At 44.7% G+C, this 27795-nt stretch overlaps 1 protein-coding gene across 6 annotated transcripts, besides 5 other annotated features; it reads left to right on the forward strand.

The window, feature by feature from the left end:
* Window positions 1–350: a silencer, noted in NCBI's record as "silent region_14719". NCBI's record gives its function as "represses an Ori minimal core promoter by ATAC-STARR-seq in GM12878 lymphoblastoid cells {active_cell/tissue: GM12878}" and the evidence as "EXISTENCE:reporter gene assay evidence [ECO:0000049][PMID:35858748]".
* On the forward strand, window positions 108–27462 carry HMCES (5-hydroxymethylcytosine binding, ES cell specific). 6 transcript variants are annotated; one of them, NM_020187.3, is made up of 7 exons: window positions 146–181; window positions 986–1191; window positions 10130–10273; window positions 11955–12080; window positions 19630–19811; window positions 23226–23418; window positions 25865–27462. In NM_020187.3, exons 2-7 carry the CDS (start codon window positions 1009–1011, stop codon window positions 26099–26101), a joined length of 1065 nt encoding a protein of 354 aa, NP_064572.2. In that variant the 5' UTR covers window positions 146–181; window positions 986–1008; the 3' UTR covers window positions 26102–27462. The 6 variants fall into 6 exon arrangements, with proteins under 6 accessions (NP_001357274.1, NP_001350810.1, NP_064572.2 ...); NM_001006109.1 differs by lacking the exon at window positions 146–181 and adding an exon at window positions 250–487 and having other exon boundaries at window positions 25865–26569; NM_001370343.1 differs by lacking the exon at window positions 146–181 and adding an exon at window positions 270–479.
* Window positions 361–750: a silencer, noted in NCBI's record as "silent region_14720". NCBI's record gives its function as "represses an Ori minimal core promoter by ATAC-STARR-seq in GM12878 lymphoblastoid cells {active_cell/tissue: GM12878}" and the evidence as "EXISTENCE:reporter gene assay evidence [ECO:0000049][PMID:35858748]".
* Window positions 1171–1300: an enhancer, noted in NCBI's record as "active region_20508". NCBI's record gives its function as "activates an Ori minimal core promoter by ATAC-STARR-seq in GM12878 lymphoblastoid cells {active_cell/tissue: GM12878}" and the evidence as "EXISTENCE:reporter gene assay evidence [ECO:0000049][PMID:35858748]".
* Window positions 26834–27418: an enhancer, noted in NCBI's record as "OCT4-NANOG hESC enhancer chr3:129024401-129024985 (GRCh37/hg19 assembly coordinates)". NCBI's record gives its function as "activates a minimal SCP1, AML or CMV promoter by ChIP-STARR-seq in primed H9 embryonic stem cells {active_cell/tissue: H9 hESC(primed)}" and the evidence as "EXISTENCE:reporter gene assay evidence [ECO:0000049][PMID:30033119]".
* Window positions 26898–27398: a transcriptional cis regulatory region, noted in NCBI's record as "intergenic|chr3:129024465-129024965 region (GRCh37/hg19 assembly coordinates) targeted for CRISPR interference". NCBI's record gives its function as "positively regulates H1.10 gene expression in K562 cells {active_cell/tissue: K562}" and the evidence as "EXISTENCE:mutant phenotype evidence [ECO:0000015][PMID:31784727]".

Genomic DNA, 27795 nt, shown 5'->3' on the forward strand with positions numbered 1-27795 from the left:
AAGACGCCGCCTCCGGGGCCCGAGGGCACCGCGGGAACCAAGGGCCCTTGGGGGCGGGGCCTGGCGCCGGGAGCGCGGGCTGAGGCGGGGCTGACGTGAGGGGCGGTGACGCGGGTGGCCAAAGCGGAGCGGAGCGGGGGTGAGGAGAGTCGAGGGAGGTGACGCGCGCTGCCGGGGCGAGGTGAGGGGAGGGGAGGCGACGCGGGCGGTCGGGGTATGGCGAGGGGAGGGGAGGGGAAAGGAAGCGACGCGAGCTGACAGAGGGGAGCAGAGGCCCGAGCGGACGCGAGGCGACGCGGAGAGGGCGGCCTGGGCCGAAGTGAGGCGACGCGGGGCGGCGGAGTCTGAGGGCCGGAGCGGAGCGGAGGCGACGCGGGGAGGGGCGAGGGATCGCGGCCGGTGGCTGGGGGCCACCTGCTCCCCGAGCACCGGCCCCCGCTCCGGGGAGCAGAGTCCGGAGCGGGATCCGCGGCCCACAGGTTCGCAGGTCGGGCCCGGGGACGCTGCGGACTAGCGGGCGGGAGGCGGGGATTCTGCACCCCGGCCCCGGGCCGTCCAGTGGCCGCCCTCGAGGTGACCGGTTGCTGGCCGGCGTGGGTCGCTGACCCCAGCGGGGACTGGGGGGAAGGACGGGGAGTTGGGGGCACCAAGTCACCCGGAGGAGGCGACCCCAGCTAGCTGCGCTTGCCCTGCTTCGCTGGACTGTGAAGCCCCCTCCGCTGCGGCTCTTCCTGCGCTCAGGCAGGCATTTGCAGAGCTCCTCTCGGGACTTGCCTCAGTGCCCTGCACGGAGCTGGGCAGTGGGCTCAGGGAGCGAAGCAAACGGGCACATCCTTGTCTTTGTGGGACTTTTTGGGGAAGACTTTAGACGGTGGTCACGGAGGGGCACGGCCCTGTGGGAACGGAAAGAGAAGGCGGGGACTCAAGGAATAAGACCTAATATTTGAGATACGTAAGCCTTTTCCTTACGTTTTGTAATTTAAAGGTTGCGAGGGGCGGTGTTGAAGAATGTGTGGGCGAACATCCTGTCACTTACCTAGAGATGTTCTCACGAGAGCTTGCGCCTACCAGGATCGGCGGGGCCAGCAGCGGCTCCCGGAGTGGAGGGACCCTGATAAGTACTGCCCCTCTTACAACAAGAGTCCTCAATCCAACAGCCCAGTGCTTCTGTCTCGACTGCACTTTGAGAAGGTAACCAGCATTGCACTATGCTAGCCCCTCGCCCAGCCTCGTGATGGTCATCTCCTATTTGGTTTGGTGTGTGCTCAGCCTCTTGGGATGACATTAAAAACCAGCCTTTACTGATATATTCTGACTTCCAGTTGAGAACCTCTCTTGGCCTCATGAAAGAAGTTTTATCAGTGGCTTCTAACACTGATAAAGACGTATTTTTCAGGCTCAATTTAAATGCCTTTGCTATACATGGCATACTAGCCTTAATATATGCCAAATTTATATGAGCTTTGTGTTTTAAAATAGCAGCTTTCACTGATCATCAGGGTCATTGGAGTATCTTAAAAATATAATAAAAAAATTTAAGGCCAGGTGCCATGGCTCATGCCTGTAACCCCAGCACTTTGGGAAGCCGAGGTGGGAGGATCACTTGAGCCTAGGAGTTGGAGACCAGCCTGGGCAACATAGGGAGACCCCATCTCTACAAAAAATAAAAAAATGAGGTGGGAAGATCACTTGAGCTGGGGAGGTCGAGGCTTCATGAGCCATGGTTGTACCACTGCACTCCCACCTGGGTGACAGATCAAGACCCTGCCTAAAGAAAAAATTTAAAAAAATAAAAAATTTAAGAATATTTCTATGCCCTTTACCAGGCCAGCTTAATCAGACTTCTCTAGGCCTAGGACAGGCTTAAGATCAGTTAATTTAAAACACTTCTGATGTTTCTTGAGCATTGAAAAGTTTTATTCTTTCTGCTTGTGTTTTCAATCTTTTTGTGTTTGTCTTTTACTAAGGCTAGAAACACGTATTTGGTTTGGTTATCTGAAGTTTAATTGCATTCATTGTGTTTATAGTATTTATCCCTGTAGTGTTGGAATTACCAGTCACTTACATTCATATTTTAGTTTTTTGCCTTATCTCCTGAAAGTGTGTGTGTCTTTGTATGTGTGTGTAATAAAAATGCTTCGTTCTAGAAAGTAATAGTTTCTCCATGTCTTAAATATTTTAAATGACCTTGACATGTTTTTAAAAATCGTGATTGTTGGCTGGGCACGGTGGCCCACGCCTGTAATCCTAGCACTTTGGGAGGTGGAGGCGGGCGGATCACGAGGTCAAGAGATCGAGACCATCCTGGCCAACATGGTGAAACCCTATCTCTACTAAAAATACAAAAATTAGCTGAGTATGGTGGCACGCACCTGTAGTCCCAGTTACTTGGGAGGCTGAGGCAGGAGAATCACTTGAACCTGGGAGGTGGAGGTTGCAGTGAGCTGAGATTGCACCACTGCACTCCAGCCTGGCGGCAGAGCGAGACTCCATCTCAAAAAAAAAAAATTGTGATTGTTTCCTTCCTGAATTTTGACTGTATTTGATTCATAATGCTGAAATCACTTTATAAAGTTGATTATACCTCTGGTACATACTCTTTAAACTTTTGTGATAATATGATAGTCAAAAAGGACTCATTTCTGCATTATAGGGAATCACATCATTTTGAAATAAAGATAACAGGCTGGGCATGGTGGCTCACACCTGTAATCCTAGCACTTTGGGAGGCCAAGACGGCTGGACCACCTGAGGTCAGGAGTTCGAGACCAGCCTGGCCAACATGGTGAAACCCCGTCTCTACTGCAAATACAAAAATTAGCTGGGTGTGATGGCGGGCGCCTGTAATCTCAGCTACTTGGGAGGCTGAGGCAGGAGAATCGCTTGAACCCGGGAGGCGAAGGTTGGGGTGAGCCAAGATTGTGCCACTGTACTCTGGCCTGGGCAACAGAGTGAGACTCCATCTCAAAAAGAAATAAAGATAACAAATAATGGCTGGGCACGGTGGCTCACGCCTGTAATCTCAGCACTTTGGGAGGCTGAGGCGGGGCAGTGGGATCTCTTGAGGTCACGAGTTTGAGATCAGTCTGGCCAACATGATGAAACTCTGTCTGTACTATAAAAAAAAAAAATGTGGAGGTTGCAGTGAGTCGAGAATGTGCCACTGCACTCCAGCCTGGGTGACAGAGCAAGACTCAGTCTCAAAAAAAAAAAAAAAAAAAAAATCAAATAATGTTCTTGGTTGAATGAAGCCATTTATATGACATAGTTATTTTTGTGTCATTTTTAGAGGATGCATACTTCCCTATTGAAACTTTTTGTTTTAAATGAGAGGGGAATCAAAATAAAATATTCTGGAGAACCTTGAAGGGGAAAAGAGAGCATAAAACATATTTCAAAGGAAAGCATAACTTAGAGTGAGAATAGAGAGCAGGATTAAGTGTATGAGCCTGGCCAGGCCTGGTGGCTCACGCCTGTAATTCTAGCACTTTGGGGGAGGCTGAGGCCAGAGAATTGCTTCAGGCCAGGATTTCAGGACACCAGCCTGAGCAAATGAGACCCTGTTTTTAACAAAAAAAAAAAAAAAAAGCCTTAGTCATTTATATGACCTCCTTAGAATTATAGAAAGTTAGCTGGAAGAAAAATTTGTCTAACAGATGTAAAGATAGAAGTATACATAGATTATGACTTGTCCTAGGTTACCTAATCAGTGAGGGACAGAACTAGAACTGAGATCCAGACCACCGTCCCCACTCCAGTGGATGCATCCTGGAACCAGGAATGGGGAAGGTGGAGCCACTAGCAAATACAGCCCTCATTTGGGCCAGTGGTATGAATTTGCTGATATAGTATTTGATTTCACATCTCTAACAAGTTTTATTAAGATTGCTATGGTTTCTTAATTTTGATAATATTTGATATCTCATTTTTCTCAGACCTATAAATTATAAAGCAAAATTAGAACCATTTTAGCAGTTCATTCAAATCATTAACAGCCTGCATATGTATATAGATAGCAACATTTTCATTTGAAACCACAGATTTGCAAATTACTTCCTGTTTCATTTATCCACCCCAGTGCTACCAGGTGTTCTGTTCAGAAGTCCAAAAGGGTAGAGGAAAGATGACTAATATTGAGCAATGGTCTTAGTATTTTGGCTTTTCAACTACTTTCTATTCGTCATTCTCACATTTGGATTTGGTTTACAGTTGTCAAGGGTACACTCTCAGCGCTGATCAGTGGAATTTGTGAGAGCAGAATTCTCAACCTTGACACTGTTGACAGTTTTGGCCAGGATAATTTTTTGTCATAGGGAGCTATTCTGGGCGTTGTAGAGCGTTTAGCAACATCCTCTACCAGCTAGATGTCAGTAGCATCCTCCACAATAGCATCCCCCAGATCAGAGCAACCAAAGGTATCTCCAGATACTGCCAGAAGTCTCTGGATGGTGGGGAGGGGTGTGTCAGAATTGTCCCGTACTGAGAACCACAGATTTTTTCAGTATTGTTGTCTTGCAAATTTCTGATGAAAGATCATTTAGTTGACCATTGCGTAATGTTGTCTCATTCTCATTTATGCACTGAGCTGGGGGTCCTTCTGCTTGGAAGACTTTTTTTTTTTTTTGGAGACAGGGACTTGCTGTGTTGCCCAGGCTGGAGTGCAGTGGCGCAATCATGGCTCACTACAACCTTGACCTCCCAGGCTCAAGCGATCCTGCTGCCTCAACCTCCCCAGCAGCTGGGATCACAGGCTTTTCCTTTTGACATTTTGAGGGGGAAGTTCTCACTGTGTTGCTCAAACTGGTCTCAAGACTCTTGAGCTCAGGCCAGGTGCAGAGGCTCACACCTGTAATCTCATTACTTTGGGAGGCTGAGGCAGGTGGATCGCTTGCAGTCGGGAGTTGTAGACCAGCCTGACCAACATGGTGAAACCCTGTCTCTACTAAAAATACAAAATTAGTCGGGTGTGGTGGTGCATGCCTGTAATCCCAGCTACCTGGGAGGCTGAGGCAGGAGAATCGCTTGAACGTGGGAGGCGGAGGTTGCAGTGAGCCAAGATCGCGCCATTGCACTCCAGCCTGGGCAACAAGAGCGAAACTCTGTCTCAAAAAAGAAAAATCAACCTTGAGCTCAAGGGATCCTCCCCACTTGGCCTACCAGAGTGCCAGGATTATAGGCTTGAGCTGCCAGAAGGCAAATTTGATTCTGGAAGAGAAAGAGGATTTATGAAATCTCTGTTTTCAACTGTTCTTTCTCACAAACACACACAAACAGTCCTCATTATTCTTAGATTCCATATTTCCAAATTCACCTACTCACTAAAATTTATTTGTAACCCCTAAATTCATACTCACTTTGCTTTTGCAATCATTGGTGCACATACAGAGAGCTGACAAATTTGAGTACCTTGATGTTTCCAGCTGAGGTTGATCGAGGCAGAGCTCTGCCTTCTTGTTTCATCTCTTACGTTATAAACAAGTATCTTTTTTGCAGCCAGTTTAGTGCCATGTGTGATTTCACTGTTTAAAATGATCCCAAGCATAGCACTAAAGTGCTGGCTGGTATTCCCAAGCTAAAGAAGGCTGTGATATGTCTTAAAAAGAAGATATATACATTGGATAAGCTTTAGTCAGGCATGAGTTATAGTGCTCTTGGTCTTGAATTTAGTGTAAATGAATTAAGAGTAAGTTTAAATTAGATGTCTTTAAACAGAAACACACATAAAACAAGGTCATATATTGATCAGTTGATGAAAGTGTCGTCACCAGATGCTGTTAGAAACATAACCTTGCATTTCCCTAAGAGCAGCAGTTCAGTACTCAAAGCAACTTTATGAAATCTAACTACTGCAAATAAAGGGAATCAACTGTTTGTGTGTATATATATGAAAAGAGAATTGGCCGGGCGCAGTGGCTCACACCTGTAGTCCCAGCACTTTGGGAGGCTGGGAGGCTGAGGCAGGCGGATCACTTGAGGTCAGGAGTTCGAGACCAGCGTAACCAACATAGTGAAACCCTGTCTCTACTAAAAATACAAAATTAGCTGGGCGTAGTGGCACATGCCTATAATCCCAGCTACTTGGGAGGCGGAGGCAGGAGAATCGCTTGAACCTGGGAGGCAGAGGTTGCATTGAGCTGAGATCGTGCCACTGCACTCCAGCCTGGGCAACAGAGCGAGACTCCATCTCAAGAAAAAGAGAATTAATGGATACAGCAGGCAGGATTCTGGAAGAAGCAGGACTGGATTTTATCAGCAGCACTATGGAGGGATTAGCTTTTAAACAAAAGGAAGCCCTTCTCCTGAGACTGCGACTACTGATGATTCCTTTCTTCAGATTCCATTCTCTCCTGACTTTCTTCGTTCTACTTTTATCTTAGTAGGTACTTCTACTTGGAACTCTGCTTTTACCCTAATTTCTTCTTTTAACAAAATTTTTTGTACCCTCAGGTTAAATCCTGTACATGATATACTCTCTAAGAAACTTTACCTTCATGGCATTAATAGTCATCTTTTTATAGACAATTTTATGATTTGTTTTTAATCCTTACCTTAGAAAAATACTATACTACAATTTGAGTGCCTACTCCATGCCACACATTTTAACTATATTATCTTTCATTCTTGAAAATTATCCCACAGGGTAATTATTGTTTGTTCTAATTTTTGGATAAGGAAAGTTGAAGGCCCAAGAAGTTGAGACTAGTCCAACCTCATAAGTAGCAGAGAAAGGATTTTTTTTTTTTTTGAGATGGAGTCTTGCTCTGTTGCCCAGGCTGCAGTGCAGTGGCACAAACTCGGCTCACTGCAAGCTCTTCCTCCCGGGTTCACGCCATTCTCCTGCCTCAGCCTTCTGAGTAGCTGGGACTACAGGCACTCGCCACCACGCCCGGCTAATTTTTTTTGTATTTTTAGTAGAGACGGGGTTTCACCGTGTTAGCCAGGATGGTCTCGATCTCCTGACCTCATGAGCCACCTGCCTCCCAAAGTGCTAGGATTACAGGCATGAGCCACCGCGCCCGGCCCAGGATTTTTTTTTTTTTCCATCAGAGTCATAGAGTGCAGTGGCACAATCTCAGTTCAATGCAACCTGCACCTCCCGAGCTCAAGCAATTCTCATGCCTCAGCCTCCCGAGTAACTGGGGTTACAGGCACACGCCACCACACCCAGCTAATTTTTGTATTTTTAGGAAAGATGGGGTTTTGCCACGTTGGCCAGGCTGGTCTCAAACTCCTGACCTGAGGTGATCCGCTCGCCTCAGCCTCCCAAAGTGCTGGGATTACAGGCGTGAGCCACCATGCCTGGCTCAGAGAAAGGATTTTTGAACCAGGATCTCCTTACAAAGACCTTGATCTTTCCTCTATACCAGGGATTGGCAAACTACGGTCCTCAGACCAAATCTGGCCTACTGCCTGTTTGTATAAAGTCTTATTAGACCACAGCTGCTATGGTTTGAATGTTTGTGTCCTTGAAAAATGCATATGTTGAAATCCTAACCCCCAAGATGATGGTATTAGGAGATAGGACCTTTGGGAATCAAAGCCCTCATGACTGGGATTAGTGTCCTTATAAAAGACACCCCAGAGATACCATGTGACAACATAGTGAGAAGGCACCATCTGTGAACCAGAAAGTGGGCCCTCACCAGACACCAAATCTGCTGGCACCTTAATCCCAGCTTTCAGAACTATGAGATAAATCATATAGTATCACTCATGCCACATTCTGTTGGTTACAAGCCCGTCCAGATTCAAGGGGAACGAACATAGATTCCCAATTCTCAATGGGAGGAGTGTCAGATTTTGCAACCATTTTTTGAAAACTGCCACAGACTTCTCACTAGTATCAGAAATTCAACATATGATCTTCATAAAACATTTCATCAGCATTTTTTCTTCTCTGTTCAGTAGTACCATCATTATTTCACTCTTCTGGGCTTGAAAACTTAATCATCCTTGCTTTTTTTCATCCAAATCCATTTGTACTACAATTTCTTTTTATTTTTTTTTAAATCTTTTGGATGTCACTGTTTTTCTCACTGCCATCACCAGACCCCTGAACCATTGTAGTAACACCCCAAAATGCACTCTCTGCTCACTGGTCTCTCCCAACCCAGAGTGTACTGTGCCATGCAGAATAATGTGTATGTGCTGCTTAATCTGTAGATTTCATCAAATTATCAAGGGGCCCATTACTTAAAAAAAGTTTGACAACCATGCGTTGGGAGTCCCCAAGACTGCCCCCATATTTAGAGATTCATTAGAAGGGCTAAGCATATAAGGCATAGTGTGTCTAAGGTTTATTAGTAAAAGGACGCAGAATAGAATCAGCAAAGGAAAAAGACACTAGTAGAAATCTGGAAAAAGTCATGCACAGGTTTCCTTATGTTTTCCTTCCTGTGGGAGGATACTGCAAGCATGTTACTTTCTCCAGCAACGAAAAATGTAGTAATGTATATGTACAGTGTTTTTGTTTTTTTTTGTGGGGTTTTTTTGTTTTGTTTTGTTTTGTTTTTTTTGAGAGAAGGTCCTGCTCCGTGGTCCAGGTTGGAGTGCAGTGGCTCAGTCACAGCTCACTAGCAGCCTCAACTTCCCAGGCTCAAGTGGTCCTCCTACCTCTGCCTTCTAAGTAGCTGGAACTACAGGTGCATGCCACCACACCAGAATAATTTTTTTTTTTTTTGGTAGAAACTGGAGTTTGCCATGTTGCCCAGGTTAGTATGTACAACGTTTATGCCCAGAGAAACCCATTAGAGACTCAGGGTCCGAGGTTTTTATTGGAGGCTGATCATGTAGGCACTCTACCAGATACCTAGCAGGTACCAAAATTTCAGACTCCCAGAAGGAAAACAGGTGTTGGCATAAACTTTATTGTTTACACAGACTAGGCGGAATAAACCACCCTTATGAGTTGGGGAAAAGTGGGAATACTCTCAAAATCTAGTTCTGAGTTGTTGAGGGCCAACCTTGTATATAGGTTTTCCTAAAAATAGCATCCTCCAGTGCTTTGAGAGACCGAGGCAGGAAAATCACTTGAGCCTAAGAGTTCGAGACCAGGCCAGGCACAGGGGCTCATGCCTGTAATCACAGCACTTTGGGAGGCTGAGGCGGGTGGATCACAAGGTCAGGAGTTCAACACCAGCCTGGCCAGAATGGTGAAACCCCGTCTTTAGTAAAAATACAAAAATTAGCTGGCGTGGTGGTGGAAGCCTGTAGTCCCGGCTACTCGGGAGGCTGAGGTAGGAGAATCGCTTAAACCCAGGAGGCAGAGGTTGCAATGAGCCAAGATCGTGCCACTGCACTCCAGCTTGGGCAACAGAGCGAGACTCCGTCTCAAAAAAAAATAAAAATAAAAAAATTCGAGACCTGCCTGAGGAACATAGTAAAACCTCATCTCTACAAAATTAGCTGGACATGATGGTGTGCACCTGTAGTCCCAGCTACTTGGGAGGCTGAAGCAGGAGGATCACCTGAGCCCAGGAATTCAACGTTGCAGTGAGCTATGATTGTGCCACTGCACTCCAGCCTGGGCAACAGAGCGAAACTGTCTCTAAAAAACAAAAAAGTTTAAAGAAACTAAACCTCTTTGCATCCCTCTACCTTATTCAAGCAGAATGTCTTACATTCTAGTAAATATGATTGCTAAAGAACTCAAGTTACCTACATCATGATAAGTCATTAAATTGTTTTTGGCTGGTTGTGGTGGCTCACACCCACAATCCCAACACTTTGGGAGGCTAAGGTGGGCAAATCACTTGAGCCCAGGAGTTCAAGACCAGCCTGGGCAACATAGCGAAACCCCATCTCTATAAACAATACAAAAATTAGCTGGGTATGGGGGGGCGTGTGTCTATAGTCCCAGCTACTTGGGAGGCTGAGGTGGGAGGATGGCTTGAGCCAGGAGGTAGAGGTGGCATTGAGCCAAAATAGCGCCACTGCACTCCAGCCTGGATGACAGAGCCAGACCTTATCTCAAAAAAAATAAAAAAATTGTTTTCAAGTAGATTCCCTGTTTAAAAATAATCTTGAATTCTTTATATTTCAATACTCCTAAATAATGTAATAAATACATATGTTAAATTAGGTTAGAATTTCATTATGATCTCCTCACTAGATCTTCTCTCCGTGGCAGGATGCAGACTCATCTGAGCGTATCATTGCTCCCATGCGCTGGGGCTTGGTCCCTTCTTGGTTCAAAGAAAGTGATCCTTCCAAGCTGCAGTTCAATACTACCAACTGTCGTAGTGATACCGTAATGGAGAAACGGTCATTTAAGGTAGGTGGCTGGTAGCTATTAGTGCCCCGTATACCTCAGAAATAAGGTTCCAAAGGGTGTTTCCATCCTAGCCTACAGAGGACAACCAAAAATAAATAAATAACACAAAAAAGAATGTTCCCAGTTGTTAATGTGGAATGCTATTTTGTTACTACATAACAAACCACACCAGACTTAGTAGTGTGAAACAAAATGATAAACATTATCTCTCATATTCTCTGGGTTGACTGGGCTCATCTGGGCAGTTTTCACTTGGAAGTTCTCATGTTGCAGTTAGATGGCAGCTGAGGCTGGATGTCCAAGATGACTTCTTCACCCACATCTGACCCTTCAGCTGGGATGACTAGAACAACTAGAAGGCTTTCCATATGCCTAGCTCGAGGGTGTCAGGGTAGCCAGGCTTCTGTTACGGTGACTCATTTACCCCAGAGCTCATGATCCAACAGAGCAGGACAGAAGATATAAGCCTTTGTCTTACAGCATCACTTAATCTTGGCAGTCATACAGCATTACTTATGCTGTATTCTTTTATTGTTATTGTTTAATTTTTTTTTTTAAATAGAGACAAGGTCTGGCTATGTTGCCCAGGCTGGTCTCAAACTCCTGGGCTCAAGTGATCCACCTGTCTGGGCCTCCCAAAGTACTGGGATTACAGGTGTGAGCTATCACGCCCGGCCTACTTCTGTTGCATTCTATGGGTTACACAGAGCCAGCCCAAATTCAGTGTGGGAGGTGTCTACATAGGGTGTGAATACTGGGAAGCATGCTTCATTGGGGAGGCACCTTTGAAGACTAGCTATGACAAGTACCTATTTGTTAGAAAAGAGGTGATTGCTTTTATGTACATTATTTAATCTTTTCAACATCTATGTGAGTTGTGACTTTCTTTATACATAAGAAAAGAGAGTGGCCGGGCACGGTGGCTCACACCTATAATCCCAGCACTTTGGGAGGCCAAGATGGGCGGATCACGAGGTCAGGAGATCGAGACCATCCTGGCTAACACGGTGAAACCCCGTCTCTACTAAAAATACAAAAAATTAGCCGGGCGTGGTGGCGGACGCCTGTAGTCCCAGCTACTCGGGAAGCTGAGGCAGGAGAATGGCTTAAGTAAACCCAGGAGGTGGAGCTTGCAGTGAGCCGAGATCACGCCACTGCACTCCAGCCTGGGCGACAGAGCAAGACTCCGTCTCAAAAAAAAAAAAAAAAAGAAAAGAGAGGTACAGAGAAATTAAATAACTGTTTTAAGGTCATACATTGGCAGACCTCAGATTTTATGTATTTATTTGTTTGTTTATTTATTTTGAGATGGAGTCTCATACTTTTGCCCAGGCTGGAGTGCAGTGGCATGATCTTGGCTCACTGCCACCTCTGCCTCCAAGTTCAAGTGATTCTCGTGCTTTAGCCTCCCAGGTAGCAGGGACTACAGGTGTGCACTACCACGCCCAGCTGATTTTTATATTTTTAGTAGAGATGGGCTTTCACCTTGTTAGCCAGGCTGGTCTCGAACTCCTGACCTCAAGTGATCCTCCCATCTCGGCCGCCCAAAGTGTTGGGATTACAGCCGTGAGCCACCCGCCTGGCCCAAACCTCAGATTTTAATTCAAGTTCTCCAAGTAATGGCAGCCTGTGAAACATGATTGTATCACTAAGACCATATCTTGCTCACATTTTCCCTCAGGTGCCTCTGGGAAAGGGAAGACGCTGTGTCGTTTTAGCAGATGGATTCTATGAGTGGCAGCGATGTCAGGGAACAAACCAGAGGCAGCCATACTTCATCTATTTTCCTCAAATCAAGACAGAGAAGGTATCATTATCAGCATTCACAATATATATTTGGAAAGGCACAGGGAAACAAATTAATCCAAAGGACATTTTTTTCTTCCCCATAGTTTTATTTATTTATTTTAAAATAACAGCTTTGGCCCAGTGCGGTGGCTCACGCCTGTGATCCCAGCACTTTGGGAGCCCAAGACGGGAAGATTGCTTGAGCCTAGGAGTTTGAGACCAGCCTGGGCAACATGGTGAAACCCCGTCTCTACAAACAATACAAAACTAGCTGGGCATGGTGGTGTGTGCCTGTAGTCCCAGCTACTCGGAAGGCTGAGGTGGGAGGATCACTTGAACCCACGAGATAGAGGCTGCAATGAGCTATGATCACACCACTGCACTGGGCGACAGAGCAAGACTCTGTCAAAATAAAATAAAATAAAGTGAAATGAAATGAAATGAGCTCATTGAGAGATAATTCACCTTAAAATTCACCTTTTTAAAATGTGCAATTCAGGAATGTTTTAGTATGTTCAAAGTATGCAATTATTACCTCTATTTTTAGAATATTTTTATCACTCTAGAAGGAAACTACATATCCATTAGCAATCACTCTTTATTCTCCACTATGCCCAGCCCCTGTCAAACACGAATCTACTTTCCATCTCTGGATTTGCCTATTTTGGACATTTCATAAAAACAGAATCATAGAATATGTGGTCTTTTGTGACTGGCTTCTTTGATTTAGCATAATGTTTTCAAGATTCATCCATGTTTGGCATGGATCAGCACTTCATTCCTTTTTGTAAGAACAGACCACATTTTGTTAATTCATTCATCAGTTGATAGACACTTGGATTGTTTCCACTTCTTGGTTATTATGAATAATGCTGCTATGAACATTCATGTACAAGTTTTGCATGGATTTGTTTTCATCTCTCTTGGATAGATGCCTAGGAGTGGAATTGCTAGGTCATATTACAACTCTACGTTTAACATTTCCTTCATAAAACTTTCACTGTGGCTGGGCGCAGTGGTTCAGGCCAGGCACGGTTGCTCATGCCTGTAATCCCAGCACTTTGGGAGGCCAGAGCAGGTGGATTACTTGAGCTCAGGAGTTCAAGACCAATCTGGGCAACATGGCGAAAACCCATCTCTACCAAAAATACAAAAAATTAGCTGGGCGTGGTCCCAGCTACTTGGGAGGCTGAGGTGGGAAGATGACTTGAGCCCAGGAGGTGGAGGTTGCAGTGAGCTGAGGTCGTGCTACTGTACTCCAGCCTGAGTGACAGAGTGAGACCCCATCTCAAAAATGAAACAAAAACCCTTTCACTGTAAGACATAATTTGAACTGTTCATGTTAAAACATTATCAGGAGATTGAAAACAAATCTGACATGCCAACATCATGTTTTATTTTTAATTAGATTATTTAGTCTGACACTGCTAAAGCACCTGAGTTCTTAGCAGTTTGCTTGTTAAAATTGGGAATTGTTTGTTCACCTGTCATCTCATTTTGGGGACTGGAAATAGTGTTACCGAGTAAAAGGGACTTGCTACCCAATGTGCTAGAAGCCAATACCATGATACTGAGTAGCTGGTCCCAGCTACTTGGCAGGCTGAGGTGGAATGATAGCTTGAGCCTGGGGTGGGGAGTGGAGGGTGCAGTGAGCCGAGATTGCACCACTGCACTCCAGCCTGGGTAACAGAGAAAAGTTTTTTTTTTTCTTCTTTTTTTTTTTTTGAGACAGAGTCTCTCTCTGTTGCCCAGGCTGGAGTGCAGTGGCGTGATCTCGGCTCACTGCAGCCTCTGCCTCTCGGGTTCAAGCGATTCTCCTGCCTCAGCCTCCCAAGTAGCTGGGACTACAGGCGTGTGCCACCAGGCCCGGCTAATTTTTTGTATTTTTAGTAGAGACGCGGTGTTAGCCAGAATGGTCTCAATCTCCTGACCTTGTGATCCACCCGCCTCGGCCTCCCAAAGTGCTGGGATTACAGGCGTGAGCCACTGCGCCTGGCCGAGAAAAGTTTTTTATTTCAAGTCGACTAACAAGAAGACAGGAGTCCAGCTCAACTCTGTCTCCCTAGCTGGCTTTAAGGAGTACTTTTATTAAAAAAATGTTTAGGGAGTGGATTCTGGGATTAGTAGGTGATTGGTGGAAGGAAAGGGGAGGCCTGGAAAGTCTTCAGGTATGTGCAGTTATCTCTTCCTGCCTCCATATAGGTCTCATGTGCAAATTCAGGGGGAGTTAGTGTGAAATGTGGTGGAAATTCAGGCTGTGATATAAGCAAGCTTGTTTTGCATATACTCTAGTCAGTTATTGGTTCCAACCAATTCAGCCAGTTTTGTTATCTTACAAGCGGAGGGAGTTTCACTGTTTCAGCAAGTTATTTTCTTATGTGCTATCCTGTAAGCCCAAGAATTTAGTCATTGGTGTTTTTGTTTGTTTGTTTGTTTTTTAACTCTTTGGGGCAGTTTCAGTAGTCAAGAGAGTTTGCCTCACCCTCAGATAATTCCCTATCAGTGATGGGTGCACCAAAATCTCAGAAATCACCACTAAAGAATTTATTCATGTAACCAGACACCACCTGTTCCCCAGAAACCTATTGAAATAAAACATAAATTAAAAAAGAAAATTCCCAGTCTAGCCAGTCTAGTAACACACAAATGATTTGGTACAAGACAAGATTAATTTATAAAACATCTATCAATTATAATAGCAAATATTAAGCACTTACTACTAGTCAGTTACTCTTTCTAGGAACTTAATGTGTATTAGCTTAATATACATTAATTCTTTTTTTTTTTTTTTTTTTTTTTTTTGAGACAGAGTTTCACTCTTGTTGCCCAGGATGGAGTGCAATGGTGTGGTCTTAGCTCACTGCAACCTCCACCTCCTGGGTTCAAGCAATTCTGCCTCGGCCGCCTGAATAGCCGGGATTACAGGTGCGTGCCACCATGTCTGGCTAATTTTTGTATTTTTAGTAGAGACAGGGTTTCACCATGTTAGCCAGGCTGGTCTCTAACTCCTGACCTCAGGTGATCCGCCTGCCTCAGCACCCCCTAAGTGCTGGGATTACAGGCATGAGCTACTGCGCCTGGACTTGAACTTAATTTTTACACTACAGATAGTTGGATTTTCCTTTTTGATTCAGTCTGACAATCATTCTTTTAATTTGTGTTTAGAACATTTAATTTAATGTAATTATTGATGTGATTGGGTTAAAATCCATTGTTTTGCTAGTTTTCTATTTGTTCCATCAACTCTTTGTTCCTTTTCTCCTGATCTTTCTGTTTTGGGAATAATCTTTTATAATTGCATTTCATCTCTATTATTGGCTTATTATTTTTGCCTCTCAAAAAATGTCTTTAGGCCGGGCGCAGTGGCTTACAACTCTAATCCCAGCACTTTGGGAGGCTAAGGCGGGCGGATCATGAGGTCAGGAGATCAAGACCATCGTGGCTAACAGTAGAGAAACCCTGTCTCTACTAAAAATACAAAAAAAAAATTAGCCTGGTGCAGTGGTGGGTGCCTGTAGTCCCAGCTACTTGGGAGGCTGAGGCAGGAGAATGGTATGAACCCGGGAGGCGGAGCTTGCAGTGAGCCAAGATTGCGCCACTGTGCTCCAGCCTGGGCAACAGAGTGAGACTCCGTCTCAAAAAAAATAATAAATAAATAAATGTTTTTAGTAGTTGCCCTACAGCTTACAGCATACATTTTAAGTTAATAACATTCTGTCTTTATACACTACATTACTATTGAAAATACCTTACAACAGTATTCTCCCAGTTCCTCCTGTCTTTTGGGCTACTGTTATGCATTTTATTTTTACATATACTATAAACTTACAATACATTGCTATTTTACTGTAGATGGTCAATTATGTTTTAGAGTGGTAAAAAATAAGAAAAGTCTTTGTACACGTACCTTCATTTTAGCCATTTCCATGGATCTTCACTTATTTGTATAGATCCAGTTTTCTCTCTGGTATTACAGCCCTTCTGCCTGAAGGACTTTAATTTTTCTTGTAGTGTGGGTCTGCTGGTAATAAATTCTGATTTTTTTTTTGTCTGAAAAAGTATCTATTTCTTTATTTTAAAAAATCATCAGGGCCGGGCACAGTGGCTCATGCCTGTAATCCCAGCACTTCGGGAGGCCGAGGTGGGCGGATCACCAGGTCAGGAAATCGAGACCATCTTGGCTAACACGGTGAAACCCCATCTCTACTAAAAACACACAAAAAATTAGCCGGGCGTGGTGGCGGGCACCTGTAGTCCCAGCTACTTGGGAGGCTGAGGCAGGAGAATGGCATGAACCCAGGAGGCAGAGCTTGCAGTGAACCGAGATGGCGCCACTGCACTCCAGCCTGGGCGACAGAGTGAGACTCCATCTCAAAAAAAAAAAAAAAAAAATTCATGCTTTTTATTGATATATAATTCACATATAATAAAATTCACCCTTTTAAAATGTACAGTGGTTTTTAGTATATTCAAAACCTTGGCCAGGCACAGTGGCTCTAAAATTAACCATGCATGGTGGCTCGTGCCTGTGGTCCCAGCTACTTGGGAGTCTGACGTGGGAAGATCACTTGAGCTTAGGAGGTCGAAGTTGCAGTGAGCCGAGATCACACCACTACACTCCAGCCTAGGTGACACAGTGAGACTCTATCAAAAAAAAAAACAAAAAAAACCCCACAAAATGTTGTGCAGCCATCATCACTAATTCCAGAATGCTGTTATCAACCCCAAATAAAACCACACCCATTAGTAGTCACTTTCCATACCTCCCTGTCTTTAACCCCTGGCAACCACTGTCTGGTATTTTTCACCGTATATAAGATTCTGGGTCAGTGGTGTTTTGTTTTCTTTCAGTACTTTAAAAAAATACACTTCATTGTCTCTGGCTCTCATAGTTTTTTTGAGAAGTCTAGTGTATAACTGTCTTTTTTCTTTTGTATGTAATGCATAAATGTGTGCTGCTCTCACCACCTTCCCCTCCACCTCCCTCCACCCCTGCTTTTAAGATTTTCTCTTAGGGCAGCTGTTTGAATACATTGTGTGTATGTGTTTTAGCCTATTCTCTTTGCTGCTTGGATCTGCAGTTTGATATCTTTCATAATTTATGGAAATTTCTTGGCTTTTTCCTCTTCAAATATTTCTTCTGCCCCATTTTCTCTTTCTGGGATTCTAATGACACATGTGTTAGATGATTTAATTGTACCATCGTTCTTGGATATTCTCTCCATTTTTCTTTCTTTTTTTCTTCTCTGTTTCAGTTTAGATACTTTTCACTGACCGTTTTTTTTCTTTTTTTGAGATGAAGTCTCGCTCTGTCACCCAAGCTGGAGTACAGTGGTGCAATCTTGGCTCACTGCAACCCCTACTTCCCAGGTTCAAACAATTCTGCCTCAGCCTCCCAAATAGCTGGGATTACAGGCATGCACCACCATGCCCAGCTAATTTTTTTTGTATTTTTAGTAGAGACGGGGTTTGATAAGGTTGGCCAGGTGGGTCTTGAACGCCTGACCTCAAGTGATCTGCCTGCCTTGGCCTCCCAGAGTATTGGGATTACAGGCATGAGCCTCTGCGCCTGGCCATTATTGACCTATCTTTAAGTTCACTGAGTCTTTCTTATAGTTTCTGTCTCTCTGCTAACGTTCCTTATCTGTTCATATATGTTGTCCACATTTTCCACAAGAGTCTTTGACATTAATTTTACTTACTTCAAGTTCTCTGATAATTTCAGCATCTGGGAAATATAATCTCTTGAATCTGGTTCTGTTAATTTCTATATCTCTTGGTGGTTGATTGCTTTAGCTTTTTTTGTGTGTCTTGTAATTTTTTATTGTTGCCAGAGATGATATGTAGGACAGAGACTGAGATTAATAATATTTATGTCTGGAAATTCTTCTATTAGGCCATTAATATATGGGGTTAAGTCAGTCTTGTCAGGAATTGAACTGGGTTTGGGCTTTGTTCTCATTACAGTGCCTTTGTTTTGTTTTTGTTTTTGTTTTTGAGACAGAGTCTCCCTCTGTTGCCCAGGCTGGAGTGCAGTGGTGCGATCTCGGCTCACTGCAAGCTCCGCCTCAGCCTCCCGAGTAGCTGGGACTACAGGCGCCCGTCACCAGGCCCAGCTAATTTTTTGTATTTTTAGTAGAGACGGGGTTTCACCGTGTTAGCCAGGATGGTCTCGATCTCCTGACCTCGTGATCCGCCTGCCTCGGCCTCCCAAAGTGCTGGGATGACAGGCATGAGCCACCACGACCAGGCTACAGTGCCTTTGTTTGACACAGGCTTTCAAGTGCTCTGGTGTTATCCAGTGTTTAGGGTAAGGATTGACTTTCCAGAGGGTTTCTCAGCAGCCCTCCTCTCTTCAGTTGTTGGATTTTCCTGTGAGCCTGTGCCTTAGACATGGTCTTTCTTGTGCCCTTTTCCCTCTTCCAGAAGTAGACTGCTTCTGCTTGTCACTTAATGTTTGTCGGCTAAACGGGTGGAGGCAGTTCTCCGTTCAGTCTATCTTAAGCAGATGTGGCTCTCTGACTCAGTCTTCCCCAGGGCGTAGGGGGCTTTTTCTTTTTCTCCTTCCCCAGCCTCTGTGGGTCTTTACCTGATTCCTAGGCGTGACAGGGATTATTATTATTACCGTTTCCCTGGCAGCTTAAGACTTTTGCTCCTTAGGGGAAAAGTGATTAGGTGAGGCAGAGGAGCTTGCCTTTAAGGTATTCAACAGTGAGGATGGCTTCCTCCAGGCTCCTGCCCTGTGCCGTCTTTTTCGAGCACTGGCAAAGTCCAAGGAGAAAAGCCTGTGAGCTGGTGCAAACTCCTCTGAGGTTTGCAGCTCCTAGGGATTCTGTACTATCCTGCTAGCCTGTACGCTGCTTGTAGAAATGTGATAATAACATTATCTGAATTCTTAACCTGGTTGTATGAAGGCTTGTGTCTCCCTCCTGATGCTGCCAATAAGCCAGTACTTGTGTCCCATTGCCCCTTGGAGGACCTTGTCTTTTCTTAAATTTCAGGGAAATTGATCGACTTACCTCTCTGATGAGTTTAAGAAAAGTTATAATTTTGCATATTATCCAGCTTTTTTCTTATTGTTAGAATAGAAGTGACGTTCTTTCCAGCTTTCTACATTTTAGTCCTTGAATTGAATTTTGAATGGCAATTAGGAATTGGCATGAAATTCAATTCAATTAAGAAAGGGTGGGAAGGACATTTTGGGCAGAGGAAGGTTGCTTCAGCAAGACACAGGAGCATGAAATTGCATGAGAGCTTCATTTACCAACAGCTGGTTTGGGTTCAAATTAACAATGTAAGTAATAGCTAGAATGGTGGGCCAGTTCACGGAAGGCCTAAATGTCCAGTGAAGGTGTTAAATTCTGAAAGTATTAAGGAGCCATGAATCTATAGCTTCAGTTGGCATTTGCCACCAACCTTCTTTCCTTTGGTGACAGAGGGGTTAATAAGACGTGGGCTGAATTACTTTTAAAATGATTTCCGTGCTCTCGAGTCTGAAGTAGTACCTAACCTGCATGTAGAAGAAGTCTGCTGAGTGCATCTAATCTGCCCATATATTTTGCTTCCAGTCAGGTAGCATTGGTGCTGCAGATAGTCCTGAGAACTGGGAGAAAGTCTGGGACAACTGGAGGCTGCTGACAATGGCCGGGATCTTTGACTGCTGGGAGCCCCCAGAGGGAGGAGATGTCCTGTATTCCTATACCATCATCACAGTGGATTCCTGCAAAGGCTTGAGTGACATCCACCACAGGCAAGTCATACTTCTTAGCCCTGGATCCAAAAGGATCCAAAAGATGATTTGTCCTCTGCTTTTAGGTAGCTTTAGAGAGTAGGAAACCAAGTCATTTTACAACGTAAAGTTACAATCAGTTTGACTCTAACATGACATACATTCCTAAAAATCACTGTACTATGCAAAACGATAGAATAAAAACCAAATAACTTAGGGGAAAAGTGGGGTTAAGGAGACAACACTTAAAATGTTGTCAGTGACACATTAAAAAAATAATGGAAACCTAATAAAACAGTAGCACTGTTTTATACATGTTAGGTGGTTAAGAAATAAATAAATACTACAGGCTGAGCACGGTGGCTCACGCCTGTAATCCCAGCACTTTGGGATGCTGAGGTGGGTGGATCACGAGGTCAGGAGATCGAGACCATCCTGGCTAACACGGTGAAACCCCGTCTCTACTAAAAATACAACAACTAAATTAGCCGGGCATGGTGGCGGGCTCCTGTAGTCCCAGCTACATGGGAGGCTGAGGCAAGAGAATGGTGTGACCCCGGGAGGTGGAGCTTGCAGTGAGCCAAGATCGTGCCACTGCACCCCAGCCTGGGTGACAGAGTGAGATTCCATCTCAATAAATACATACATACATACATACTACAATAAATATGGCACTTTACCTCGACAAGACCTGAAGTTTGCTTGTTGCTTGTGGAAGTGAGTGTTGGAAGAAATGCATCTCATGAGTTATTGTGAAGTTGTGGAAGGAAGGTTATGTAAAATTTTTTATCTTTTGCAGTCTTAAATCCTGGGGCACAGTTTTCCTCCTATGAACGTATTTCCTTTGAGGCATGCATTTGTAATAGATGCTATTTAATTAAAATTGAATATTTGATTCAATGTATAGCCTTCTCCTCCAATTAACTTCTGTATCACTGCTAGAAATTCTTTAGCGCATTTTCATCTGTACTTGTGGCTTCTCCCAATAGCAGAAAGCTTTGAAAATTGTCGCCATGTTCGAAACCAGTAAACTAACCACTACTAGCACTAAAAGGAGCCACTTGTGGTATTTAAGATTTTATTTATATATAGGCCTTATTTATATATTTTTTGTATGAACCTTATAGGTGCTTCTTTTTTTTTTTTTTTTTTTTTGAGACAGAGTCTCACTCTGTCGCCCAGGCTGGAGTGCAGTGGTGCGATCTCGGCTCACTGCAAGCTCTGCCTCCTGGGTTCACACCATTCTCCTGCCTCAGCCTCCCGAGTAGCTGGGACTACAGGCACACGCCGCCACGCCTGGCTAACAGGGTTTCGCCATGTTACCCAGGATGGTCTAGATCTCCTGACCTTGTGATCCACCTGCCTCGGCCTCCCAAAGTGCTGGGATTACAGGTGTGAGCCACCGCGCCTGGCTGGAGTACTTCTTGAAGTTGTTCCAGCCATGGTCATTTTTTTTTTGTAGCATCATCACTGATGTGGACTCCTTGATATCCTTTGCTCAGGAAATAATCACATGTTCTCATTTTTCTTCCAGGATCTTTTACTATTTCAAGCTTCTTTTCAATATTTAAAATGTCTCCATTCACATGCATTGCCTACCATGTTTTGAGCCAGGAAGCTTAGACATGTTTGAGATGTTAAATGTGCATCTTTATATATATATATATATATATATATAGAAAAGTTCAGAAAGGCAAAAGAAGAGCAAAACACAATTTTGTAAAATAGTATGCAGTGAGCCAAAGTAGCAGTCAGTGTTTGAGATGGGTGCATTTTGTGGCTCAGTTCATCTGGGTGCAGTTTTCTGTGTTCACCTTGTGTTTCTCACAGATGAAACTGTGCATAAGCAAACACAAAATTTGCATTGTGCTCCAATTGCTCTCTACTGTATCAGTGGCATTGGAACAGATTTGCATTTTAAACATAAGCATTGGCAGAACTGACTATACTTGTATTCTACCTTTATACTTTCTGCCAGAGCTGAGTACTCCCTGAAGTGATTTTTTGGAGTTCTCCTGAAAAGAATGCAGTGTGACACCTGTCAGGATTACCTGCTTTAGCCTTGTCCTAGGCTATATCTGTGAAAATATGCTTTCATGTGGCCAGGCGCAGTGGCTCACACCTGTAATCCCAGCACTTTGGGACGCCGAGGTGGGTGGATCACGAGTTCAGGAGATCAAGACCATCCTGGCGAACACTGTGAAACCCCATCTCTACTAAAAATACAAAAAAATGGCCAGGCGCGGTGGCTCACACCTGTAATCCCAGCACTTTGGGAGGCTGAGGCGGGTGGATCATGAGGTCAGGAGATCGAGACCATCCTGGCTAACACGGTGAAACTCTGTCTCTACTAAAAAATACAAAAAATTAGCCAGACGTGGTGGCGGCTGCCTGTAGTCCCAGCTACTTGGGAGGCTGAGGCAGGAGAATGGCGTGAACCCGGGAGGTGGAGCTTGCAATGAGCCGAGATCATGCCATTGAACTCCAGCCTGGGCAACACAGTGAGACTCCATCTCAAAAAAAAAAAATTAGCCGGGCATGGTGGTGGGTGCCTGTAGTCCCAGCTACTCAGGAGGCTGAGGCAGAAGAATGGCATGAACCCGGGGGGTGGAGCTTGCAGTGAGTGGAGATCACGCCACTGCACTCCAGCCTGGGCAACACAGCAAGACTCTGTCTCAAAAAAAAAAAAAAAGAAGAAAAAAAAAAAAATATGCTTTCATGTGATGTAGTTCTCTTTTAGTAATTAACCTTTAAAAATTATATTTCATTTAATCTAAATCACCATTCATTTAAAAATGTACCATTATTTTATACATTACAGTATTTAACATTATTTTATATGTTATGTATATATTTAGGAGACAAATGAACATTTGTCTGTATCTGAATCAACTGTACCACCCAAAAAGTGTGTGCCACACTGCATTGGCCTGGGACATAAAACTGGAAGCTAAACCTAGTATATTTTCCTTACATCCTCTGGGTACCAGGAGTCATGTTTGACAGCTTCTCTGCTTTTCTGACGCATGGCTTCCTTTTGTTCACAATTTTCTTACTGTAAGTCTTTCAGAGGTGGTGAGGCTTGAGATTGCTGTTGATAGACAAGTTTTCAAGATCTATTTTCCCTTCATTCTAGGCTGGGGTGTCATAGAAAGTTTACCAATTTACTAGAGTGGACACTGGAGTACACTAGACCAGTTAGTACTCTTCACTGTCTTTGCCATGAAACTTTATAACATGGCTCTCCAGGTGTTGAATCTGGTGCCCTGTCACCCTGTGCTCAGGGAACACATGGCAGCAATCAGCATGTGAGGCGCAGAGGGAGGGCAAGCTCCCCTTGTGATATTTGAGGTATCAGCTGACTCAAGTCTCTCTCCCTTCTCTCCTTATTCTCATGCTACCTCTCCCAACCATTGTCTTAACTTCCCTGGCCAGGATGCCTGCCATATTAGATGGAGAGGAGGCAGTTTCTAAATGGCTTGACTTTGGTGAAGTCTCAACTCAGGAAGCTCTGAAATTAATCCACCCAACAGAGAACATCACCTTCCATGCAGTCTCTTCTGTGGTGAACAACTCGCGAAACAACACTCCTGAGTGTCTGGCTCCTGTCGACTTGGTGGTCAAAAAGGTAGGGGCCTGTGACTGGTACAGTCCTTTTTGAGCTTTCTGTCTTCTGTCAGTGTTCTCTTTCTTTCAGGATGTGGCCTTTTATGATCAGCCCTTTAATTTGGACCATCAAAAGCTCTCATACTCCTTGTACACAGCAAGGTAGTGTAGAGCAGCAATTCTCAAACCTGGCTGTGACTCAGAGTCCCCAGGAGAAGAACTCTTTCAAAATGTAAATGCTAGACCCTATCTAGACATCCTGAATCAACATTTAGAGCTAGGCTTGGACTTTTGTATAATTAAGAAGCTTCAGGCTGGGCGCAGTGGCTCACGCCTGTAATCCCAGCACTTTGGGAGGCCGAGGCAAGTGGATCACGAGGTCAACAGATCGAGACCATCCTGGCCAATATGGTGAAACCCCGTCTCTACTAAAAATACAAAAATTAGCTGGGTGTGGTGGCCCGTCCCAAGTAGTGATCCCAGCTACTTGGGAGGCTGAGGCAGGAGAATCACTTGAACCTGGGAGGTGGAGGTTGCAGTGAGCCTAGATTGGGCCACTGCACTCCAGCTTGGTGACAGGGCGAGACTGCGTTTCAAAAAAAAGAAGCTTCAGCTGGGTGCAGTGGCTCATGCCTGTAATGCCAGCACTTAGAAGGCAGAGGTGGGAGGGTAGCTTTACCTGAGGAGTTCCAGACCTGCCTGGGCAATATAGTGAGACCCCGTTCTCCACAAAAAGGAAAAAAAAAAAAGCTTCTTTGATGAGTCTGATAAACCACATTTGAGGACTCCTAATCTAGACAGTGATGGTGAAAAAGACAAAGGAGCCCTTGACCATATTGTTTCTCCGTCCCCAACCATGATTTTTGGTGTCTCTTTTCTGTATCTTTGCTTTCCGAACTACAAGTTGCAGGAGCTCCAGTCCTTAGTCTCCTTCAGGAGGATTTGAGAGCATTCCTACCATGAACCTTAACTTCTTAGAATCAGCAAGGATCCAGAGGGTGTATTTTAGGAAGGGAAGGCAAACAAACAGAAGGCCTGCAGTGGGGAGAGAAGTTCCAGAGCAAAAAGCTGGCCCCCACTGACATTTGGGGGTAAGGATTTAGGAGTAGTGATTGTTTTTAGGTGGCATGGAGGGACTTAAAATAGGACATACTTGGAATGTTCCAAGAATAGACATTTTAGAATGCCGTGTTAAGGATGATTGTAAGAACAGCTGTCCCCCTCTCTATTTTTCTTAAAGTTTTTTCCATACCCACAGTGTCATCTTTTTTTCTTTTGTTTTGATTCTGATAAACTCCTGCAACCGTGGCACTTTTTAAAAATTAGATAACTCTAAAACTAATTCTATATACAGGTTGAATATCCCTATCCAAAATGCTTGGGAACAGAAGTGTTTTAGATTTTGAATTTTTTCAAATTTTGGAATATTTGCATTATATACTTCCTAGCCGAATATCCTAAATCTGAAATGTACCAACAAGCATTTCCTTTCAAAGTCATGTAAGCACTTAAAAAGTTTAGGATTTTGGAGCATTTTGGATCTTGGATTTTCAGGGTTAGGATGCTCAACCTGTATTCATTTTGGACTAGACGCTGCCCATTTCTGCCATGGTCTTTTTTTTTTTCCTTTTTCTTTTTTAGAGACAGGGTCATGCTCTGTTGCCCAGGTTAGACTGCAGTGGCATGATCATAGTTCACTGCAGCCTCGAACTCCTGGGCTCAAATGATCCTCCCACCTCAGCCTCCCAGGTAGCTGGGACTACAAGCGTACACCACCATGCCTGGCTCATTTTTTTAAATTTTTTATAGAGATGGGGTCTTCCTATGTTTCCTAGGCTGGTCTCAAACTCCTGGGCTCAAGCGATCTTCCCACCTCAGCCTCCCAAAGTGCTGGGATTACAGGCATGCACCACTGTACCTAGCCCTGCCATGGTGTTTACTCCAAAAGATGTCACATTCTGGAGAGGTGGCATTGTGCTAATTCAGAACCTTTCAGTTCAGGATTGGGGTGTGATGTAAAGGAAGCAGAAGGGAGTAGTGACAGTCAAGAAGAGGTTGTACAGATTGTCTGCACAAAGAGGAAACAATTTAGCCTTATCACAGTGGCTGTTAGAAATTCTTCTGTATCTCTCCAGTCTCGTTTTCCAACACTCCCCCTGGGTCATGCTGAATTACATTCTTTTCCCTGAGAATGCTTCATTCTCTGCACATTTGGAATGCCTTTCAGCTCTCTTCTCTGGCTGGTCCCACACAATCCTCTGTGAAACCTTCTCTAAGATCTACTTTCCTGCCCCTTAGAGCACACTCCTCTCTTTCCACTCTTGACTGGTGGGCCCCAGCTGGCCCTTAGTAACATTTTCCAAGCCTGGGTAAGTACCTAATGCCTCTTCCCCTGTTTCTTCCCTTGGACTTGGCCTTTTCCCAAAAGCTTGAGCTGTATGGTTTGAGCTTTTTCCTCTTTCTTGTAGGAGCTCAGGGCAAGTGGCAGTAGCCAGAGGATGTTGCAGTGGTTGGCCACAAAGTCACCCAAAAAGGAAGACTCAAAAACACCTCAAAAGGAAGAGTCAGATGTTCCCCAGTGGTCCAGTCAGTTCCTGCAGAAGAGTCCACTCCCCACCAAGAGAGGCACTGCAGGACTCCTAGAGCAATGGCTGAAGCGGGAGAAGGAGGAGGAACCTGTGGCCAAGCGTCCTTACAGCCAGTGACACAGGACTTTCAGAGACCAAGGCCAGGGTCTGCTGCACTGCTGTTCTGATAATAGGTTCTTAACATTGTATGTATATGTGTTTGCTTTGGGAGGAGGTGGCACTGTGTTAGTTGACAGTTGTGGGCTCATGTAGTCTTTTTTGCCATGAGTAGGAGCCCCTAGTGGGGCTGGTGGACAGCTTTGGAAGAGGTGTCCTGCTGCTGTTACCAGCCATGTGGGCCCCATAGGGGCACTGCGCCTGCTGCCCTTTCCTGGCAGGGCTGGTGGAGTCTTCCCTCAAAGCATGCCTTACCCAGCTGGGAAGTCTCTGCCCTGATCTGGTACTCCTTGTAGTAAGCTGTTTTCTGCTCAGCCACTGGGCTCTTTCACTTTTTTAGTTCTTAAAAATTTATTTTTAAGTTCTAAAATAAAATAAAAATAAGTTCTTAAAATTTATTTTTTTCCTGAATAAATTGTATTTGGTAAACTTCTGCCTACATTTTGGAAAGTGATGCTGGTGGGGAAAGTTCTAGATCTTACTTGGTTTCTTCTAGAATCAGTCTTCAGGAATGGATTTTGTCACAAATGGGGCATGGGGGCTTTCTGAGGAAATAACTACAAGTCTTGGTGGTGGGCTCCTTATTATGTTTCTTTTTCTTTCATTCTTGATACTTGGAAGTCGTCTGAATCCTTTAGCTTCAAACCAGCCTGAGTTTGAGTGCTTGCCGTAGCAGAAACTATCCTTACCACAGGTGGGAAGGAAAGGACCAGTTTCTAGCAGTGTCGGGCCACTCCTCTTTCGAACATCCCTAAGGGAGGCATTCACAAAAGCTGTCCCAAGCAGCTGGAAGAAAACAGCTTCCGAGATGACCAGGAGGACTGGGCGGCGCCGAGCCCAGAACGCTCCTGGCGCAGCACCGTTGGCGTTGGCCGATTGCTGCTGGTGGGGGGCGGGGGTGCAGGCCCCAGTCTCTATGCAAATCAGGGATCAGAAGATCGGAATTTCCACCAATCAGCGGGAAGCCTCGGCCCTGTAACTGCTAATGGGAGACAGCAGCGCCACGCCACAGGCTTTTCCCCTGGTTTCGGGAGGGGTGGGGAGCCAGGTGGGGCTCCCGCCCAGACCCTTTCCCGAGGTCCGCCCTCTCCGCCTTTTCTCTAAATTCCTCTTTTGAGTGCCCTCCCTTCCGGTTGAGAGGCGGGGGTTGGCCCGTAGTTGTACACTCAGTCACCCTGCACTGTGGAGGCGGGGGCCTCCCTTGTGGACTGATTTGCGTGGGATTTGGTTGTTTTATTAAGAGATTTAAAAAATTCAGATGACTTACTAGTATGACTGTTTTGTCATATTTGCTTCCAGGTTAATAAATGACAAAAATGAAATTCCCTTTGTTTTTCATTATCATCTCCCCACTGTTTCTCATGGTTGCAAATTAGTTTGGTGAGGTCTTTTCATTTTAACATGAAAGAATATAATGCCTGCAGGGGCTTGTTTCCTTTTCATTCAAGTTTTTATACTTTCATATAAACGTGATGTTAGAAGCAAATCCTGGCCGGGCGAGGTGGCTCACTCCTGTAATCCTAGCACTTTGGGAGGCCAAGGCAGGTGGATCACCTGAGGCCAGGAGTTCAGGACCAGCCTGGCCAACATGGTGAAACCCTGTCTCTACTAAAATACAAAAATTAGCCGGGCATGACGTTGGGTGCCTGTAATTC

This window comes from Homo sapiens, chromosome 3 (assembly GCF_000001405.40).
Source record: "Homo sapiens chromosome 3, GRCh38.p14 Primary Assembly".
NCBI classification, from domain to species: Eukaryota; Metazoa; Chordata; class Mammalia; order Primates; family Hominidae; genus Homo; species Homo sapiens.

Excerpts from the sequence above, each read along its gene's own strand:
- HMCES (NM_020187.3), top strand. The coding sequence starts at position 1,009 with ATGTGTGGGCGAACATCCTGTCACTTACCTAGAGATGTTCTCACGAGA. Across the intron at positions 10,274-11,954 it reads TGGAGAAACGGTCATTTAAG|GTGCCTCTGGGAAAGGGAAG; the intron begins GTAGGTGGCTGG and ends ATTTTCCCTCAG. Across the intron at positions 23,419-25,864 it reads TCGACTTGGTGGTCAAAAAG|GAGCTCAGGGCAAGTGGCAG; the intron begins GTAGGGGCCTGT and ends TCTTTCTTGTAG.